Source organism: Homo sapiens, chromosome 2 (assembly GCF_000001405.40).
Source record: "Homo sapiens chromosome 2, GRCh38.p14 Primary Assembly".
Classification (NCBI taxonomy): domain Eukaryota; kingdom Metazoa; phylum Chordata; class Mammalia; order Primates; family Hominidae; genus Homo; species Homo sapiens.
The window spans coordinates 160,257,141-160,277,815 of record NC_000002.12 but is presented as its reverse complement, the minus strand read 5'-3'; the positions used below and the strand labels follow the sequence as shown (position 1 = coordinate 160,277,815).

At 42.0% G+C, this 20,675-nt stretch overlaps 1 protein-coding gene and 1 long non-coding RNA gene across 4 annotated transcripts in view, besides 1 other annotated feature; both read left to right on the top strand.

Moving 5' to 3' along the window:
• The window catches only part of RBMS1 (RNA binding motif single stranded interacting protein 1), a 221,657-nt gene extending 215,992 nt beyond the window's left edge, over positions 1-5,665 (top strand). For 2 of the 3 annotated variants that reach the window (NM_002897.5, NM_016836.4), the window contains exons 12-14: positions 433-513; positions 2,102-2,186; positions 3,052-5,665. In NM_002897.5, the coding sequence (NP_002888.1) occupies positions 433-513; positions 2,102-2,179 (159 nt within the window). In that variant the 3' untranslated portion in view covers positions 2,180-2,186; positions 3,052-5,665. Of the gene's footprint in view, positions 1-432; positions 514-2,101; positions 2,427-3,051 lie in introns of those variants that run through there. The other variant, XM_047445368.1, reaches the window with a different exon arrangement.
• Positions 5,666-5,920: 255 nt separating this feature from the next.
• LINC02478 (long intergenic non-protein coding RNA 2478) lies at positions 5,921-20,097 on the top strand. The gene is made up of 2 exons (NR_103775.1): positions 5,921-6,096; positions 19,770-20,097. It is a non-coding gene; the product is annotated as a long intergenic non-protein coding RNA 2478 (long non-coding RNA).
• Positions 7,104-7,713: an enhancer, noted in NCBI's record as "H3K27ac hESC enhancer chr2:161126614-161127223 (GRCh37/hg19 assembly coordinates)". NCBI's record gives its function as "activates a minimal SCP1, AML or CMV promoter by ChIP-STARR-seq in naive H9 embryonic stem cells {active_cell/tissue: H9 hESC(naive)}" and the evidence as "EXISTENCE:reporter gene assay evidence [ECO:0000049][PMID:30033119]".
• Positions 20,098-20,675: the final 578 nt, after the last annotated feature.

Sequence of the window (20,675 nt, the reverse complement as noted above, 5' to 3'; positions counted from 1 at the left end):
TGTTAGAGGTCTAATAAGTCTTACCCCTGTGGGCTCTACCTGTAGAAACAATACTAGGTACTAGTTTAGGGGGCTGCTAGAAAATAATGAGGTCCTTTGAGGAGAGATCTTCTAAAATCACACATTAGTGATACTGAATTATTGAGAGTGACAAACTTTTTTATCTTCACCCATAATAAACTTTTTTTATCTTCACTTTGTTAGCAAATCCAAAGAAATGTGGAATTTTTAGTTTAGCAGATTCAAAAAGTAGAAAACAGTTTACCTTCCATATGACATATTTATATGCACTATTTAAGCTTTGAGGTGTAGCCCATTTAAATTTCTTCTTTGAGATTTCCAAATACATTATATCCATCTCACAATCCCCCCACGTACTCCAAATTTTGCATGGTTTACCATTGCCCATTCTGACCTCATTCTTCTTTCTAGTACATGCCTGCAACGTCAGCTATGCAAGGAGCCTACTTGCCACAGTATGCACATATGCAGACGACAGCGGTTCCTGTTGAGGTTGGTAGAGACCATCCAGTGACCATTCTGGCTATAAGTAGTTTCAGAAATGGGTAAATTAAATAGAACTCAGAAAAATCTACCAGACGTCAAATATTTGCATAAAGAATTGCGTTTAGCCAGATGTGGTGGGTCATGCCTGTAAGTCCAACACTTTGGAAGGCTGAGGAGGGAGGATTGCTTATGGTCAGGAGTTAGAGACCAGCCTGGGCAACATAGTGAGATCCCATCTCTACAAAAAATAAAATTGTTTGAAAATTGGCCAGACATGGTGACATGGACCTGTAGTCCCAGCTACTCAGGAGTATGAGGCAGGAAGAACCCTTGAGCCCTGGAGTTTGCAACTACAGTGAGCTATGATCATGACAAATTAGGGTAACAACATCCAGGCCACACCTCTTAAGACTCCCAGAAATATTTTCTAAGCCTATAGTGCCTTTCATACCCCTCGGACGTTCTGTCTTGTCTCTCATAAAATGATACTACAGACATAATAAGATAAATCTGGAGTTTGCAGTCCCAGTACTAAAGATCGTATCAATGATAATTAATAATGACGAAAAGAAATCAGTTGTAGTTAAGATACTTAGTGGAAAAGAGAAAGCTGTTTTGAAACTGCTACAGGGATGAAGAAGAAGCTATAGCTGTTTTTACAGAGGCTGTTAGTATGGCTAGATAACTGTTCTTGTTATGGAAGATACTGATATGAAAGAAAGAAGTCTAGCATTTGAATTATGGTTAGAGAGAAAACGTGGCATTTTCCTGCAAAGTATCCTTAAAATTTCAAGGAAATGTATCAATCCAGTTGATCTTGCCCACTAGGCAGATCCCAAAGGTTCCAATTCCAGGAAAGGATCATAGGACTCTGGCCTGTTGGTGGAGGTGGTGGTGGTGGTGGTGATAGTAGTAGCAGTAGTAGTAGTAGTAGGTGTTGGTGGTGGTGGTGGTGGTGGTGGTGGTGGTAGTAGTATTTTACTTCTGTTTGTGCAATTACTGACAACCACAGTTACCAGAGCCTACAATTCCTTACCTGCAATCTGAAACCCAAAAAGAAATCTGAAAATAAAAATTATCTTTGTAACTACTTTAGCATAAAACCTGACCTATGGCAAAACTCAACCTGAATTGAGATGAGACAAAATCTTGATCCCACTTAACTGTGCTGCTTCATGGCTTCCAGTGTAGAACTATTAATATGTTTGCTTATGAGGTGCAGCCCTAGACCCTACTGGAGGCATTAAATGATATACAGCATATGCATACCACATTTCAGATTATAAAATCTGAAAATACTGAATTCCAAATCACATCTGTCCCCAGGGGATAAGAGGGTAAGAGATTTGTTTGATATGCTGTAGCTTGATAAGAATAGGAAAGTCATAAACATTTGGATGGGAGGTGCTTTGGGTCTGTTAGACATGCCAGCTGCTTAGGGAAATGATTAACCTTGAAAGCTCTACATGACGTGAAGAAATTTACTTTAAAGAGTAACTGTTTTTAAGGCACTGTTGGATTCAGTCAGGCCTAAGTAGCAGAGCTGAGGTTTTTTCACTAACATGTCTCATCCATTCTGCTTTGTTTGTTGTAGGAGGCAAGTGGTCAACAGCAGGTGGCTGTCGAGACGTCTAATGACCATTCTCCATATACCTTTCAACCTAATAAGTAACTGTGAGGTATGAGGGAAAGGTCTTCATAACTGGGGGGCTCAAATCAAGCACAATCTATAGGGCTTTTTTTAAAATCAGAATGGTGATTGGGATAACTCGGATTTTATCATACTGCTTTAATCGTGGCCAAGGCATCTAGTCTTGTTGAAATATTAAAATCAGTGATTTTATGAATTTAAGATTAATCATTTTGTCTAAAGAGAATGCTTTATACTGAAGCCAAATGTATACTCTCCCCACTAAAAAGAAAAAAATAAAAATCTGTAACATCAGAGAACACCAAGAACCAAAATTGTTCTATAATACAAGTATCCTATATCATATTACTTTAATACTCAGAAACTGGAGGACCTATAGCATAAGATGTTGCTCAATCTAGCATTACAAGTTTAGCAACATCTTGATTATGAATTTAGATAAATGTCAATATCCTTAGATTGAAAGATTATATTCCCAACTCTCACTTGAACCACAAATTTCAAAACTTTTCACTTTACCATGCAGACTGTAATAAAATAGCTGTGTAGAACTTAGAATACCCTGGTTTCTGCATTGCCCTGGTGATATAGAATACCTTGGTTTCTGGATTGCCCTGGTGATAACATGTATTTTTGATTTCATAAAGTCACTCTTTAGAGACCCAAATGAATTTGGCTCTAAATTAGAAAAGAAAGTATTTTGCAAGTCCTGGATGTGACAGGCATTGAAAGTAACCATCAGTTCCAGAGTCTGCATTTATCAGTCTACCATCAGTGATGAGCATAACCTTTTTCAAACACATATCTCTTTAAAACAAGAAACAGATTACAAAGCTCTGTAGTGTTTCACACCAAATCTACAAAAGCATTTGTCTTTTATTTTTCTCTTCCAGATGTACAGAAAGGTGTTCTTACATGAAGAAGGGTGTGAAGGCTGAACAATCATGGATTTTTCTGATCAATTGTGCTTTAGGAAATTATTGACAGTTTTGCACAGGTTCTTGAAAACGTTATTTATAATGAAATCAACTAAAACTATTTTTGCTATAAGTTCTATAAGGTGCATAAAACCCTTAAATTCATCTAGTAGCTGTTCCCCCGAACAGGTTTATTTTAGTAAAAAAAAAAAAACAAAAAACAAAAACAAAAGATTTTTATCAAATGTTATGATGCAAAAAAAGAAAAAGAAAAAAAAAAAGAAAAGAAAACTTCAATTTTCTGGGTATGCACAAAGACCATGAAGACTTATCCAAGTGCATGACCGGATTTTTGTGGTTTTGTTCATTTTGTGTTTAATTTGTGTTTTTTTTTTCCAGCTGTATGAAATGGGCTTTCTGAAGTTTAAATAGTCCGACTTCACCCATGGTGTTCTGTGCTTGCAGTGCGAGTGTTGCTGTAATTCAGTGTTGCCGTCAGTGTCTCTTTTCTTAGCTTTCTGTCTTTCTTTCAACGTAGTGTGAAGTGTCTTATCCTTTTCTATGAATTCCAATTTGCCTTAACTCTTTTGATGCTGTAGCTGTTTCAGTAAAAGTTAGTTCAAACTAATGATGTAGAATGCTTTGACCAAATGAGCTGGTCTATTATGCCTTGTAAAACAGCAGCATAGGGCTTTTAAAAGGTAGTCAATAAAAGTTGCTGAAATTTTGGCTTTTTTAAATATGTAGTAGGTGTTTTTAATGATTTTTCACATAATGTGTAAGGTAGTGAAATGCAAGAAGGGAAAAATGTTTTGTGTGAAACACATTTTCTGACTGGGGAACTTTTATTAGGGTAAATTGTTTGTAAGGCTGTACGCCAACAGTTTCCTCTGATAGTTTGACTGATTTAGGATATCTGCTGTATGATGCAATGTAAAGTCTTTTTTGCCTTTTTTCAGGAAAAAAAAAAAGCTAACTTGATGTACTAGATTTAGTGTAGGTAGTGTTGGGGTTGGGGATGGGGGTGGGGGAGGGGAGTCACTGAATGTTTTGTCCTTCCTTTATACTAATGATAGTGCTTTAGAATGAGAATTATGCCTGAAATCTGGCAAACCGAAAAATGTTGCTATTGCAACAAAGTGGCAAAAGCTAAAAGTAAGGATTTATCTTCAAACATAAGCTGAGATAACGAATAGAAGCAAAACGATTGGCTACTAGCTCTCTCTCTCTCTCTCTATTAGGTAAATTTGAAAAATAAAAATGACTTGGCACTTTTAAAGGTAACTTCACCAAAGACCGAAGAGCCAGTAACCAGTAGCTCCAACTTGTCTCAGCATCACATCTTCTGTGCTCTTTATTTTTGCCGGACCAGTTTGCGGTTAGGAGAATGTGCCTTTTTTGTACCTTTGCATTTAGGTTTTATAATTTTAATTGATGTATGGACACACACAAACAAAAAAGCATGAAGGAAGATTTGGATCCAAGCAGTGCCACACTTTACATCATCACTACAAGTGTTCAAGTGTAAAGAAAACCAATTTTGAAACTATGAAATTCCTGATTCATAAATACACAGTTATTTCTACTTTAGTACATATAAGATAATTCACTGTTATTAAAGCTCTTTTATTAAGGCAATTGCATATGTTTTAAAAGCAATGGTAAATTAAGTTGTCTTCCAAAACTGTGTACTTGTCTGGTCAGCTGTGTATGATCAGTTATCTACCTCAGAGTCTATTTTCTTTTGTGCTGGGACAGGTTGCTGGCCCTCCCTGTTTCCACAGACCAAATCCTCCTAGCTCAGGAGCTAGGGCTAAGCAGTTATTTCTTTCAAGTATTTTTTAGTTCTTAAATTTTATGCTTGTATTTGATGATAGATGTCAGTGACATTTCATAGTTTCAAAAGTCCTTGCTGCTCTGAGAAGTGTAGATTCTAGTGAAAATTACATAGTCATAAGAGAAATGTGTTTTTGTTTTTGTTTTTGTTTCATTTTTTTAAAGTTGTGGTATTATTGGTTCTATGCTCCCTGGAATATTACTGCTTTGTGAAAGTCCAGACTGAACGCAGCACCCTCTGTGTACCTAGTACAGTTATAAACCTGGGTCTCTCACTACTTGATATTTTTGCATTAGTTAAGACAGAAATTTGATAGCTCGGTTAGAGGGGAGGGGAAATCTGCTGCTAGAAATGTCTGAACTAAGTGCCATACTCGTCTGGGTAAGATTTGGGAAACATAACCTCTGTACATAAAAAAAAAAAAATCAGTTAAACATCACATAGTAGACAGCCATTAAATTATAAAAAAATTAATTTATGAAGAAAGACCTTTTGTACAGATTGAAAAAAAAAGATTTTCATAGAGATATCTATATGATCAAGAGAGTTAATTTTTTATTTTTGTTTTACTAGTGCCACAGACTTGCCAGTGGTAACTTATTTGTCCGGTTCAAGATAACTCTGTAGTTTTCTTTCCTAGGACTTGTTGTTAAACGCCAAAAGACATTTTTGAACTGTACATTTGATCAGATTGTTAGCTTTTCTGTTTTATTTCTTTTGAGAACCTTTGAATAAAAAACATCTGAAATTTTATTTTTCCTGTCAATTTTTTTTAAGTCGATTAAGTGTATATCAGAATTTCATTTCATTTCTGATCTCTTTCTTCAGCTCAGTAGATTGGTTTGAAAGTGAGTTGAAAGTTATGTCAGATTCAATATATCCTCAAAATACATTTCCTTGAAAACAATTGGAAAAACCTTTCCACCCCACTTTTGCTGGTTATTTAAATCTGTGTAATGACCAGAGACGTCAACCCTCAGCTCAGCACGTCAACCGTCAGCTCAGCACGTCAACGGTCGGCTCAGCAAATATCCAGCCCAAAATACACCACTAGTGGTCTGTTCTTAAAGACCAAAAAACCAGGCCCTTTTTCTTCCTCCTTTCTTGCTGCTACGCCTCAACTATTTCATTGCTTGTCAATGCTCAGCAAGGAAGACAGCCTAACAGCAGCCCTCCCACCTGTGGTAAGGAAGCATGTGGGCGAGAACCTCGGGATAATCTTATCTATGCGTTTATGACCAAGGTCCTCTTTCAGAGCTACCTGTTCAGCTGTTCCCGACTGGAGGCTCCCGTGCAGCATTCACGGAGGAGCGAGAACTCCTCTTTCCCTCACTTGACTGCTTTATAGGAGGCACTTAATATGCAAAATAGGCTCCTTCTGCCCAAAGTGGAGTAAACGTTTTAGTGTGGTGGTTCAGTATTTATTTCCTGGTGTCCAGTGGCTCTGTCATGGTGATAAAAAGAGTGGGCAAGGAAAAGATGCAGTCCGCTCCATTTCTGGCTGCGTCCCCTGCCATGTGGATGGTGTGCGGGGTGAGTTAGATAAGGGAGGGGTCAGAGCACTTAACTTGCCGGAGCCAAGAAATCGCTGGTACTTGATGGCTGTTTCAGAGAAGGAAACAACATTCCTCTGATGCTAACTGGTGCTTCTGAGAGCAAAATGTCAGGGAGGAGAGAAGCATGGCCTCTCGAGACAAACCCAGGCTGCTAAGAATGTAAGCTCTGGTCTCACTTTGCGTTCCAGCCAAACACCTAAGTGCTCCTTTCTATGACCAAAGGTAAGAAAGAAATGCAATTCAGGCTCCTGGGCACCTTCGTTTTTGTTCACCCTATTTTTGTTGTAGCTTCTCGCCGCTGAAGTCCGCGGCCCTCTATCTGGCTGTGTTATGTACTGAAACCGGTAAACATACTCAGGAGCACCAATCCACGGAAAAGGGAGGATCAAGCCAGCGATGGTGGTTCACAGTTACCGCTCCCATATAACTAGAGGGGTTGTGGCATGTTTGGGGATAAACCCCACCTAGCTGAAAGCTCTGAGACTGAAGTGGAATTCTGGGGTTGGAGGAGAGGAAAGAGGGTGTGGCCGTTGCTCTGTGGTCTACGTATTTTCCCCTCTATAGTGGCTGGAATGAGGAAAGCCAGGGAGTGGAGGCGGGAGTCCCGTTTTTCACCCCACTGCCACACCCTTCATGGCCAGTGGCTCTAGGTTTATCCGCTGGAGCTTAAATCCCACAAATACTGATTTAAAATTCACTAGGAGAAAGGCAGTGCCTCCCAGCCTGAGCCGGGGCTCAATGAATGTTAAGATATGACTGATTATATCCTCATTCCATTAGGGTAGCCAAAAAGGAAAAGAGCCAGCGCCATTGGGACAAAGGTCACCGACCTCTCAATCGCCCTGCCCCTTCCACAAAAAGCCTGAGATGTCAAGTAGGTGGGGGAGGGAGGAGAGCCGGGAGCTCAGGATTTGAGGAAGGCCAGGCAGTCTCTGCCCCTCGAATAGCAACGCGATGAGCTCAGCCCCCTCAGTCCAGGCCGAGAGCCAGATGGGGGTCACGTGGCCGCGGGGCCCCCCGGGCGCAGGGTCCTCGGCACAGCTGACGGGTGCGCGCCGAGCTCCGCCGGGCGAAGGAATTCCAGCCCCGCAAAATGGCTCCAGAGTGTCTCCCGTGACTCGCTCGGTGGCTGCGGAAGGCAAGAGGGTGTGTGCGCTTGAGCCGCTAGAGGGAGGGTGTTTTGTTCCTCAGCCGTCAGACGCGAGCTCTGCAGGCCGAAAACCCAGACCCGCTGCAGCCGACATCGGGAAGCCCCTGGGCGGAGGTTTAGCCTGTCGGGGCACACAGGCCTGGGTCACAGGGGTCTTGAATTTGGGGTTCCTCGTAAGACTGGAGCGCAGGCCGTCGCCTGTGCTGGCAGCGCCCTCATTGTGAGCGTTGTTGGTCAGACTGGGGAGTGACTGAAATGTGACTTTGAAGGTTCAGGGCAGCTGGGGGCGGCTAGGGAGGAAACCGCGCGCCTTGCCAGACCACGTGACTCGGCGCGAGAAAGCGATGGCAGGTCTCTGGGCTGCTCAGAATTGAAAACGTGGCTTTGAATTAAAGAATTCGGTTGTTTTATGCGACTCTGAGAGACTTAAGATTTGATGTAGGCTATTCCAGTGCTCACACAGGACCCAGACCATAAACCAGACTGCAGGGATTTCCTATCCTCTAGTATCCTTGAAGCCACCTGCCCTACTTGAACACCTCCAGGGACCAGGCACTGCCTGCCTCACAGGGCATCAGGTAGCTTTAGGGAACAGCTCTCAAACTTGTTTGCAGAGGAGTCCAAATTGTGGCTTTGAAATTCCCACTTACCGGCCTTAGTGCTGCCAACCGGGATGCCACAGAGTCAGTCAGTCATACTTCAAGTGTGGAAACGTGACTCCATGGCTCTGCTCTTCTCTGGGTTGAGCATTCCTTCCAGCTTTAACTCTTCCTCGTCAGCCCTGGTCACTCCACATCATCAACTCACCTTCCAGATGTACCACAGTTGACTCAGGATAAAACCCAAAACCGGAGGAAGAACTTGGGACTTCACCTGTCTCCCCTGCCCTGCCGGTTCCTTTTTGACTTCTCAGACATACCACAATTCTTAGAACTTGTAGCCAGTGAAAATCCCTATGTTGCTTTATTTTTTAAATGACAGTAGTTACGCTAAAGACATGCAAGATAATATGAAGTCATTTTAAAATGAGGACATTTTAATGACATGGAAAATGCTTAGGATATAACGTGAATAAAAAGTGTTAGGAACAGACCTGTAGATACAGTATGATCAAAACTATGAAATAAGTATAAAACCCAAGGAGAGGCTGGGCACAGTGGCTTATGCCTGTAATCTCAACACTGGGAACCAAGGCCAGGGGATTGATTGAGGCCACGAGTTTGAGACCAGCCTGGGCAATATAGCAAGAGTCATCTCTACAAGAAAATTTTAAAAATTAGCCTGGCATGATGGCACACACTTGTAGTCCTAGCCACTTGGGAGGCTCAGACAGGATTGCTTGAGCCCAGGAGTTTGAGGTTGCAGTGGCTGTTATGTTCACGCCACTACACTGTAGCCTGTGTGACAGAGAGATACACTGTCTTAAAAATAAATAACAAGGAGAAAGTACTTCAAAATGCTTATCAAGTGGGAGGATTATAGAAAGTTTGTATTTTCTCATTTATACTTCCCTGAATAATTTTTCCAGTTTTCAACAATGAAAACATTTTATGATCAAGAAAAAAAATTCTTAAAGAATGTTGTCACATTATCCTGAAATTATGCAAGTCACTATGCTCATATTCCAACTAAGCACATTTGATTGATTTTTTTGTGTTTAAAAGATAACTACCCCAAGCATTGGCAGACACAAAGATGATGTGATGTGGTCCCAGTCCTCAAGGGACAATCTTAGAGACACAAGTCTATAAGTGACAATATTATAAGGAGAAGTAAGAAAAGATCTAAATAAAGAGCTTTGGGAGTTCTGTGAGGGGGCGAAGATAATGAAAACATCTCTCCTGAGATTCTCAGTATTTCCACATTTCCAACCAGTTCCTTTTTTACTGATCAGAATTCACTTGAGAGCAGCCATTTTCCTCACGGGTTCCTCTACCTTCTGAGAGATGAAATTGTCAGGCAGACAGACAAAGTCTTTGATAGCTCTGCCCTTGCCAGAATGAGACTTGGAGCAGATGTCCAAAGAGTTGACATTGCTGTCACTTCTGTTCTGAAAATACTGGAATGTGTAAGAAGAAAGAACTGTCCTTTAAAAAAAAAAAAATCAAGTAGGGTGTGGGATACTTTCCAAGTAATGTCATTTTGATTTCTTTTACCCTTGGTCACATGTTCTCCACACATCAGATTATGGATTTGCAAACACCTGTATAGTTTTCCCATGCCCTTCATATATCTTGAGAACTATTTGTTATTTTCTTCAGGGAAGCCTAGGCAGGAATCCCATTTTATCCACTTTGTAACTCATGTCTTTGACACATGTTCAAGACCATAAATATTGTTCCTGGCCTCCTAGCCAGGAACAACAATTTTTCCTAAGAAATACGTGAAGGAACTTCCATTACTGTTATTTTCTCCCTAACATTTAGTTCAATTTTATTGAGAAGATTTTGGATCCTTCAACTTAATTCTTCCAATGATCTGGGTTTTTTGTTTTGTTTTATTTTGTTTTACAAACCTGTATTTTACGAAGATTTGAGGCAACTGTGTAGGAAACACAATTACAAACGTAGAAATCTGGACTTGATAAATTAACAGGGAAGAGACATAAGGAGTACACAGAATGTAGCTCTATAGGCCAAAGTTCTCCACCATCACTACAGTTAAACTTCAATAATTATGTTTCCTGGCAGCCAAGGTGAAAAGGGAGAAAAGAACTTGCATCTGTAGCTCTTACTGTCAAAAAGAATAAAGCCCGCCAGATTCTCTGGAGAAAGATAGTATTTACTCACTTTGTACAGGGGCTGCTGCAGGGGCTACTGGGCAGTGTCCACCACATTTCTCCACCAATACAATGACAGTTTCCCAAGCCTGTTTCAGATAGGACCCATTCATAAAAGTCAAGGGCGGCACAGCAAGCCACCGTTTCGTGATAGTGATTCTGGTAGGCTATAGACTCATAATAGGTATTCTGATCTCATCACATGTTCTTAGGTGATATACTTCATCCCTCTCACAGAGCCCTTTGCTATGACTCTGAAGGACAAAACAGCTCTGCAACAGCAAAAATGTTCCGTATCCTCCTTTTATTTCCACATTTGGCCCTTCACATGGGAAAAGAGATGCAAGCCACAAGTCCTCCTGCCACTTACTGAGCACTTCATGTTATACCTAAGACACCAACCAGTTTCTTCCATTCCACCCAAAGCAGCAGCTCAGAGGTGAATCGCTGAGCTGTCTGATTTGGGCAGTCGCTCCGTCCTCTGGCCAGTGAGTCAGGAGGTAAGATGATGACCCTTTCCATTACCTAATACTGTAGCCTTCCTAGGGCTCTCACAAATCATAGCGCTTTTTTATTCTGCCATCAGAGGACCCTCGAGAGCTGAGGAGAGAGAATAGAGAGCCCCAGGGATGCAAGGCAGAGATAGCCCAGTGTGGCCCACCATAAACAAAATTTCCGGAAATTCTCATGCTTTGTTCTAAATTAATGGGAATTTTGTGTTTACCTCATAATGTCTATTTTTCCCCAAAGTGGGTATGCCATTTGGTTTATGAAATATTTTTAAATTTTGAAACACAAAAGTTGCAAGTACAATACAAAGAACTTGTGTCCTAATTTACCTGAGAGCAGATCACAGAACAAATGCTCCATTACCCGCTAAAAACAAGGACATTCTCTTACATGACCACAACACAACCATCAAAGCAACACCGACTCATTACTACCAACTAAACCTCAGACCCCAGTCAAGTTTCACACATTAATTGTCATGTCTCTTAAGTTTCTCTCAGTCTGAAATAGCTCCTCAGTCTTTCCTTGACTTTCATGACTTTGACGCAGTTGAAGATTATGAGCCTGTGATTTTGCAGAGTGTCTCAGATTGGTTTGTTTGAAGTTTCTGCGTGGTCCAATTTTGGCAGGAATATCAACAAAGTGAAGCTGTTTTCTCCTCACTGCATCCCGTCAGGACGTGAGTGATTTCACTGTGTTTCATTACCTATGATACTCTCTCTCTTTGATCACTTAATTAAAGTGGTGTCTGCCAGGCATCTCCACTGTAAAGTTACCTTTCACACTTTGCAGTTAATAAGTATGTTGTGAGGAAGTGCTTTGAAACCATGGAAATACCCCAAACGTCCTCAAACTTTTAATTTATTCATTTACCTTATGTAAGTATGGACTCAGAATTTCCTGTTTTACTCAGTGGATTCTAATCGGTTGCAGTCATTACTTGTTTTGATGTTCAAGTTATCCCCCGTTTGGCCCGTGGGAGCCCTGCAAGCCAGCGTCTATTTTTTAGACATGTCCCTGTCATTCTTTAAGCATCGCCTTGCCTACTGGCACCACAAGATGTTTCAGGCTTATTTTGTACTTTCCCTGCCCCAGCCCTGGAATTCTCCAAAGAGCCCTGTTACCTGGCATGATCTCAGCTCACTGCCATCTCTGCCTCCCAGGTTCAAGCGATTCTCATGCCTCAGCCTCCTGAGTAGCTGGGATTACAGGCGTGCGCCACCAAGCCCAGCTAATTTTTGTATTTTTAGTAGAGACGGGGTTTCACCATGTTAGCCAGGCTGGTTCTCAAGTGATCCACCCTCCTCGGCCTCCCAAACTGCTGGGATTACAGGCATGAGTCACCACGCCCGGTCAGCCCTAGTTTCTTTTGATGGAGAATGACATTTAGAAGCTAAGGTTTAGGTACTAGGTATACTCTTTGCTACTTGCATGTCACTGTTCCCAAGTCTTGTCAGTAGACAGGGTTAGGGAGTATGTGTATACACATGTGTATGTCCACACACATATTTATACCTTGTCTGTAAATATTGGAAAGCATGAATTTTCAACCACAGATTTCATTTTCCCTTTCCTTTTTTTTTCCCCCTCTTAGAGACAGAGTCTTACTATATCACTCAGGCTTGAGTACAGTGGTGCCATTATGTAGCTCACTGCAGCCTCCACTTCCTGGGCTCAACCAATCCTCCCACCTCAGCCTCTCAAGTAACTAGGACTACAGGCACATACCACCACACCCAGCTAATTTATTTTTTATTTTTCAGAGAGAGGGTCTCACTATGTTGTCCAGGCTAATCTCAAACTCTTGGACTCAAAGCAGTCCTCCTGCCTCGGCCTCCCAAAATGCTGGGATTGTCACTGTGACTGGTCCCTTCCCATTTTTGTAATTATTTTCTGATGGTAAGAAGCCTGGCTCCCAATATCTTTGATCTACTTACTAATATGGTTTGGCTCTGTGTCCCCACCCAAATCACGTTGAATTGTAATCTCCAGTGTTCAGAGAGGGACCTGGTGGCAGGTGATTAGATCATAGGGGTGGGCTTCCCCGTTGCTGGTCTCATGATAGTGAGTGAGTTTTCACAAGATCTGGTTGTGTAAAGGTGTGTAGCTCTTTCTCCTGTCACCATGTGAACATATGCTTGCTTCTGCTTTGCCTTCTGCCATGATTGTAAGTTTCCCGAGGCCTTCCTATCAGGCCTCTTGTACAGCATGCATGCAGAACCGTAAGTCTATTAAAACTCTTTTCTTTATAAACTGCCCAGTCTCAGGTAGTTCTTTACAGCAATGTGAGAATGGGCTAATACACTTACTCATTGCTCAGTCCCCCTGTGTGCAACCAATCTCCCATTGCTGGCACCACCCACTTTGCCATGCAAATGCCTTAGCCCAGCTCACCCTGCTCAGGCTCTGATACCTTGCTCTGTGTGGGAGTTTGGAGGGGTGAGCAAGTTGGTTCTTCTCCTACTCTCTGCCCAGAAGCAAAAGGGAACCACATGTTAAAGAACAGAAGTAATTCTGCCATAAGAGAGCAAGTACCCTCCACAAGAAGAGACCTTTTGTGATGCCATAAATTTGCCTCATGAAGTCTGCTTATGTCTCACTGTCATATAGAATGTGCTAAAAGTTTGAAACAGAGTTGAAGGGCAGGAAGGGTGTGGAAGTGTAAAATCTGAAAAAAATATAAAGAGAAGTAATGAGAGGGTGACATAAAGGAGAGAAAGGAAGTAGAAAAGAAAGACTTAGGGAGGTAAGTGAGAAAATAATATAAGGAAGAAAAAGTAAAAAGTGTAGGAGAAAAAGAAGATAAAATGAACGCTTGATTAACATCCTCTTTCCAAAGTTGTTCCCGAAGGCCTAGTAAATCGGCTGGTAATAGGCTTGTAAGATACAATCTCTCAGCCACCAACTTTGGCATGTATTAAATTAAGGAAACAGTGATATTTCTAAGATGTCAGCAGTGAGTTACTATCTTTGAGGCCACAAATCCAGCTTCCTGCAGAAACTCAAATGCAGCAGCCTCTGGATCTTCCCAGGTATTTTTCAAGTGCCTCCCAAGAAAAGCGCCTCACAGAGCACAGAGACTTATCCTCACCAGTTGAAGCATCTCATTAACCATGAGTTAATTCTTAAATTTCTAAGATAAATGCCTTTGAGTTTTTGAGAATGAAAAGAGCTTCAACCTTGTGGTCATGGGGAAGTGTGAATTCCCCAAACTAATTCATCTCATCTGTTTTGTCCTCCAATTGGCCCTCTGCACCATTGGTCAGTGCTGCCAACCCCATTTGTCTCCATGTGCCCACCTTCCATTCCACCTCATCTTACTGCAATCTAGTATCTGCCACAAGCTCTTCATGCATGGAGGGTCAGAATCCTATTCTCAAGTAAAAGAATCCTTATCTAATGACCTCTTTGCTGCATCTGTCATAAAAAGAAGAGTAGGAAGAGCCCATTGGTTAGAGGATGAGTATTGGCAAAGACTAGCAGAGAGCCCGAGGAATGCAGCTGAGAGGGAGTTAGTCCTCATGGGCAGTGGGGAGCTGGGCTTAGGGTAGCAGGGATATAAGTGGCTTCCCATGTGTAGTTGTATTGGCTTTGTGGATACTGCGAAAGAGCTCCCCTCCTTTCTCCTTAAAAAAGGAAACTAGGTTTAGCTAAGCAAGGATGCAGTTCATGGTTACGGGGGCTCTGGTGCATTGAGTATTGTTCCAGTGGCTTCAAAAGACAGCCATGGCAGCTGGGGAACCAACCATGCTGCTCCGGGGCCTGCCACGTGCTCACCGTCCACCCCAGTCCCCTGGGCCTCTGCAACTCTCCCTCTCCTGGCCTGGCAGTGGCTATCATGGGTCTCTCAGAGTCTTGGCCCTTCGAGCCTGAAGAATAGCTTTAATAGCCCAATGTTGCCACTGCCTGAGTGGGGTGGTGGAATGTTCTCCTCATTCACACCTCATCACAGAACCAGATAGGGTGGGCCAGATGGAAGGAGTGCATCTGGGTATTATTCTGAAGCTGAGGCTTCATAAGGGGGTGCCCATATGTCTCCCTCCTCCACTGTACTGAGAAATGGGGATCACGCCTTTGTCTTCACTGGGTCCTTTCCTTTCCCCAGCCCCACTCCTAGTGCCTCACACACATGGATACCTAACCTACCACTTACTCAAACTGCAACTTTAGATCAACTGGGGATGGAGGAGGCACACTATTCTTAGAAGTCTTTACTGCCATCTGCTAGAAAATTGTCAGAAAGCCCATACAAATGTACAATGACTACGTGAATGGCGCCCCCAGAGTTGTGCAGTGTGTGGCTTTCTCACCGTAAGCTGCAGTCTGTTCGATGGATGAAAAAAATCCAATGCTTATAGCCAATGCTTATATTCATTTTTGCTAATAATTCTAAACTCTCAAAATGGGGTTCCCAGAAGTGCTAACAAGGAACAATGATCTAAATTAACATTAATTACTCCCTTTAGGTGGAAGATCCACCAAAAACTTAAGTTCAGATCAACCAGAAACTGCCAGCACAAGGTGCTTGAATGATTTAATAAGACAGCCAGTGATAGATTTGAATTTTTTCATGGCTTAATGATTTTTTTTTCCATGTGGAACTAGGAGGCTGGCAGTTTGCAGACTATAGCAGGCACAACATCAAAATTTGTCCTCAAGTTGTTCCTGCTAGGGGCTGGAAAGAATGGACTGGCAGAGTGTGGGCCTTCCAGCTGAGCCCATGGTAAGGGGCACTGACAGGGTCATACAGTGCGTGTTTGGCTGGGTAGGATGAACAGGTTGCTCACCAAAAGCTGTATACCAAAAAGACTGCTTGGTCCAGCAGAAGGCAATGTTTTCTCGTTTGTCTGCCCATAGGGGATGCCTTTTTCTAATTCTCACAAGGACTAGCACCATACGAGAGATTCAAATTGTCACTGCAATGCTGAGCCTAGTAACAGCAGTTCCCTGATATTAGCATCTCTTGTGCAATCCACAAAACCAAACACCCTGGCTCATTCTGATCATTACTTCTTTCCCTCTTGCTACATTAAATCATTTATAAGCCTGTCATGAAATCTCTGTGTTCTAAGTTCAGCTCAGTGACTTTGTGAGCTGGAAACTCTCTGCTCCTGCAGATTACTCTTTTCTGCTGTCTATATCTCAAGAGACTGACCTTCAAGGGTGGCATTAAACAAGCTTACTTGCCTCTGACTTCCATCTGGTTTGGCCAATGAGAGATGCTGGCAGACCAGTAGGCTGCCAGGTGGGCTAGAGCAAAGATCAATTAACACTTCCTCCCTGTGGGCCACAGGTTGGCAGTGTCCATGTCATGGGCTGAATTAAGTCCCCCCAAATTAATATGTTCAATTCCTAACCCCTAGTACTTCATAATGTAACTGTATTTAAAGATGGGACCTTAAAGGAGGTAATTAAGTTAAAATGAGATCATTAGGTGGGACCCTAATCCAATATGACCGGTGGCCTTATAAGAAGAGGAAATTTGGACACAGATGCAGGCACAGAGGAAAAACCATGTGAAGACTGGAAGGAGAGAGGCCTTAGAAGAAACCAGCCCTGCCAGCACCTGCATCTTGGACTTGTGAGGACATAGATCTCTGTTGCTTAAGTTATCACATCTGTGCGATTCTGTTATGGTACCTGAACAAACTAATATAATCCCTCTACCAGAGTCACAGCTGCAGTCCATGCCCCCACTCCTAGAGCTCCAGTTCTCTCCCTGGGCTTGGATCACAGCATCCTCTCCTTACCCCTTCAGGCTTAGGAGAAAGCAGGAAGGGCCCCTGCTATTGCTTCCCTATCACTGCTGGTTTCTCTGAACTGCGCACATGTCTTTGTAACTGCCTTTATTCAACCCTTCTTCAGTCACCCCACCCCAGTGCACCAGGTGTTACTTACAGGGACTTAGATGGATCCACTTGTTTCCCTCACTATTTGCCTGAGCTGTTCCTAAAATGTAATCCTACCTAGCAGAAATAAACCAAAATGGCTTATCGGGTGAGCCCCTTTCTGTCACATTACTATGTAAAAAGTATTTTCAAAGATTTCCATGGTGACAAGAAGCTGTTGGAATATGCAACCTAACAGCTCTGCAAAAATGAAGGTACTGAATTGTAACTAATGAATGAGAAACTGACTGCTTTGACAAAAGAAATGTATGCTATGGAGAGAACACTTTGAAGGTGGATATTTAGAATTGTTTCCACCATTGAGAAATGTTGGTTCTGAAAACAGTGTTACCGTTATTAAAAATTCTAATACGTACATGTGTCGAAAACTGAGAAATGGAATTTTTCTACATTATTTTAAAATATTTTAAATGTAGGCTGGGCACATTAGCTCACACCTGTAATCCTAGCACTTTGGGATGCCAAGGTGGGAGAATCACTTGAGTCCAGGAGTTCAAGACAAGCCTGGGCAATAAAGTGAGACCCAGACTCTACAAAAAATTTTAAATTTAGCTGAATATGGTGGTGCTTGCCTGTAGTCACAGTTACTTGGGAGGCTGAAGTGGGAGAATTGCTTGAGCCCAGGTGATCGAGGCTGCAATGAACTATGATTGCATCACTGCACTCCAGTCTGGTGACACAGCAAGATCATCTCTTATATGAACAAACAAAAAACCTTTTAAATGTACAGTTTCAGAGAGCTTTGGACATATATTTATGTCCAAAAAAAAGGGTGGAAATCAATATATTGAAAGAATATCTCCACTCCCATGTTTATTGCAGCACTATTCACAATAGCCAAGATATGGGTTCAACCTAAGAGTCCATCAATGGATGAATGGATAAAGAAAATGTGGTATATATATACAATGGAATATTATTCAGCCATAAAAAAGAATAAAATCCTGTCATTTGCAGCAACATGGATGGAACTGGAGGCCATTATGTTAAGTGAAATAAGCCAAGCACAGACAGACAAATATCACATGTTCTCACTAATGTGGGAGCTAAAAAAGTGGATGATCGCCAGAGACCAGGAAAGATAGGGAAGAGGGAGAGATGAAAGGGAAAACAAGAATATAAATGTGTTTATTACCACTGAACTGTACACTTAAAAATAGTAAAGATGGTAAATTTTAAATGTGTATTTTACCTCAATAAAAATAAAGTGTAAAAAAACTGAGAAGTGGGGTTTTTCTAAATTATTTAAAAATCTTTCAAATGTACAATTTCAGAGAACACTGAATATATCTTTATCTGTCTATCTCTGTCTCTACTTATCTATGTAAAAATGGTGCATCAATCAGACTTCTTTGCCTTCTGACTTTCTCTGGGTTTGGTCAATGGGAAGCACTTTGATTAGAATATAAGAACTGTTGATTGACCCAAGGCAGATGAAAATGTATTGGTAAACTTTCAACAGAACCTTTGCATAGCTGGTGGATGTGGGTAAAAAAGTGAGTCTAACTTAGCAGTTACAGCCAATTATGCCCTTCTTGCATTATCGCTGTAGTATTGTTTTAGCCATGAGAATCACTAAAGCCAGGTATCAAAATAGACTGATCTTAGAAGCAGACTTTTGAATTGTATCACAAAGTGTTATATCAAACTTTTCAAATGAAGCATATTCAGTTCAGTTACATATAAATATAAAATGCGTATAGAACCTTAATAGGAAAGCAAAAAGCAAAAGGGGGTTTTGTACCATCAATAAAATAATATTATTTCATCTTTTCTTCATTCTTTTTCGTTTTTTGTTTTTTGAGACAGAGTCTTGCTGTGCCACCCAGGCTGGAGTGCAGTGGTGTGATCTCGGCTCACTGCAACCTCCGCCTCCCAGGTTCAAGCAATTCTCCTGCCTCAGCCTCCCAAGTAGCTGGGATTACAGGCCTGCACCACCACACCCAGCTAATTTTTGTATTTTTAGTAGAGATGGGGTTTCGCCATGTTGGACAGGCTGGTCTCCAACTCCTGACCTCAAGTGATCCACCCACCTCGACCTCCCAAAATGCTGGGATTACAGGCGTGAGCCACCACCCCGAACTCTTTGCTTCATTCTTTAACATTTTCCCTGTTTTTAATTACTATAATATGTTAGTTCAATAGTACATATAACATATATATAATTTACAAATAACAAGTATTGGGAGTATCTGCTTAAAAACCTTTTACTGAATCCAGTGAGCCATCCAAAAAGCCTGGAAACCACTGAGCATTAAACCATAAGGGGCTGTAAAATTAAAAAAAAAAAAACCTGTACCCAGAATCTTAGAACTTCAGATTGACACACTCTATGTGTCAACCAAAGTGGGGGATGTGAAGGAGGAACTGCCAGCCCCAATCAGCTTCCCACATTAGTCAGGAGAGTATGTTCATTTAGTTGCACCACCATTTCTCAGAACGTTTTGGAAATATTTGGAATGTAGTAGGAGACCTAAGGGACCACCCACTCAAAACCCAAACGAAAGCCTTCCAAAGACAACAGGGGGCAAAATGAGAGTCAGCTCCTCCCAGCTCCACATCCGGCCAGCAGCGGGCTGGGCAGGGCAGCCATCTTGTCCCACTCTGGCTTCTTCCGCACATTCCTGACTGTTACAGGGGGCCTGAGCCTGGGGAATGAATGTTATCACTGCAGGCAATGTTTAGAGGTGACAGAAAACACTCCAGTCACGTCAGAGAGAAGAGCCATTTAGACTAGACTAGGGCGCAATACCCCTGGAGCTGAGCTCCCTTGCCTTTCCCCTAATGCCTCCAACAAAACGAGACTCTGGTTCCAGGCAGCGCTCTGGACGATATGCTTATTTACTCTGACATTTCGGGCAAATGGCTATAAAATACTTTGGTGGCTTGGAGACATGACTATACAGTTTTGTAATGAAAGCTGCTTCCAAACTGCTTTCTGTTATTTTTTCAGAATTCTTCACTGATTAAAATCTGGTTACAAAACAAGGGACCTAGAGAGATGTTCACTTCACCACTTCTCTACAGATGCCTCCTGCTGCTTCCAACTTTTCTCCTTTAAGGCAGGGTGAATCCAAATCATGGTCTTAGCCCTGAAGGAGGCACCAAAGCAGTTTCGTTGCCCTGTGAAAAGCTTCTAGAGGAGCTCATCTGAATGCTTGAAGAAACCAGCCGCCCTTGCAATTACCTAAAAGGAATTGAGTCATTTTAACAAGACATTATTTCTGCCATCCACGGTCACAATCATCTCTTTGAAAAATAAATACTCTTGGTTTGTTGTTTTTTTTGTTTGTTTGTTTGTTTGTTTTTAATGTCCATTATGGGATGGTCTGATTAGACAATGGGATTTCATAATCTAGGGAGGTGAGCACATCCCTGAGTTTTGCCAATCCTCATTATTCAACCTCCTGCTGTGCTCAGGGGTGGGGCTTCTACACACCAGGAAACTCCAGATAAATGGAAGCACAAACTGCTCTGCCCAAAGCCACACTCTGTGGTGCCAAAGCTGGCAGATCCTGCCATTTTACAGACTATGGCCTCCAAACTGGGTTTTCCTCTTTTTCATCCCTGCAAAGAATAAGAAAGCACATAGTCCCAAGTCCCTTTCTCAAGATGACCCTCCACATGGACACCTGAAGCGATCAAACAGCCTCCGACCAAGAGGCATTTGTTATTTACTCCACACACCATCCTCTAGCTTGTTGCAAAACCTGTCTGCCTTCTCACGGTAAAGAATGACGCACACACTTTTAATCCATTCGGCTTTTTGAAAAATGAAGGCGAGGCCTTGATTTACTGTGGTTTGCCTACCCTACTCTATAATGCCAACAGATTATTGGGCCTGGTGGCAGCCTTGTCC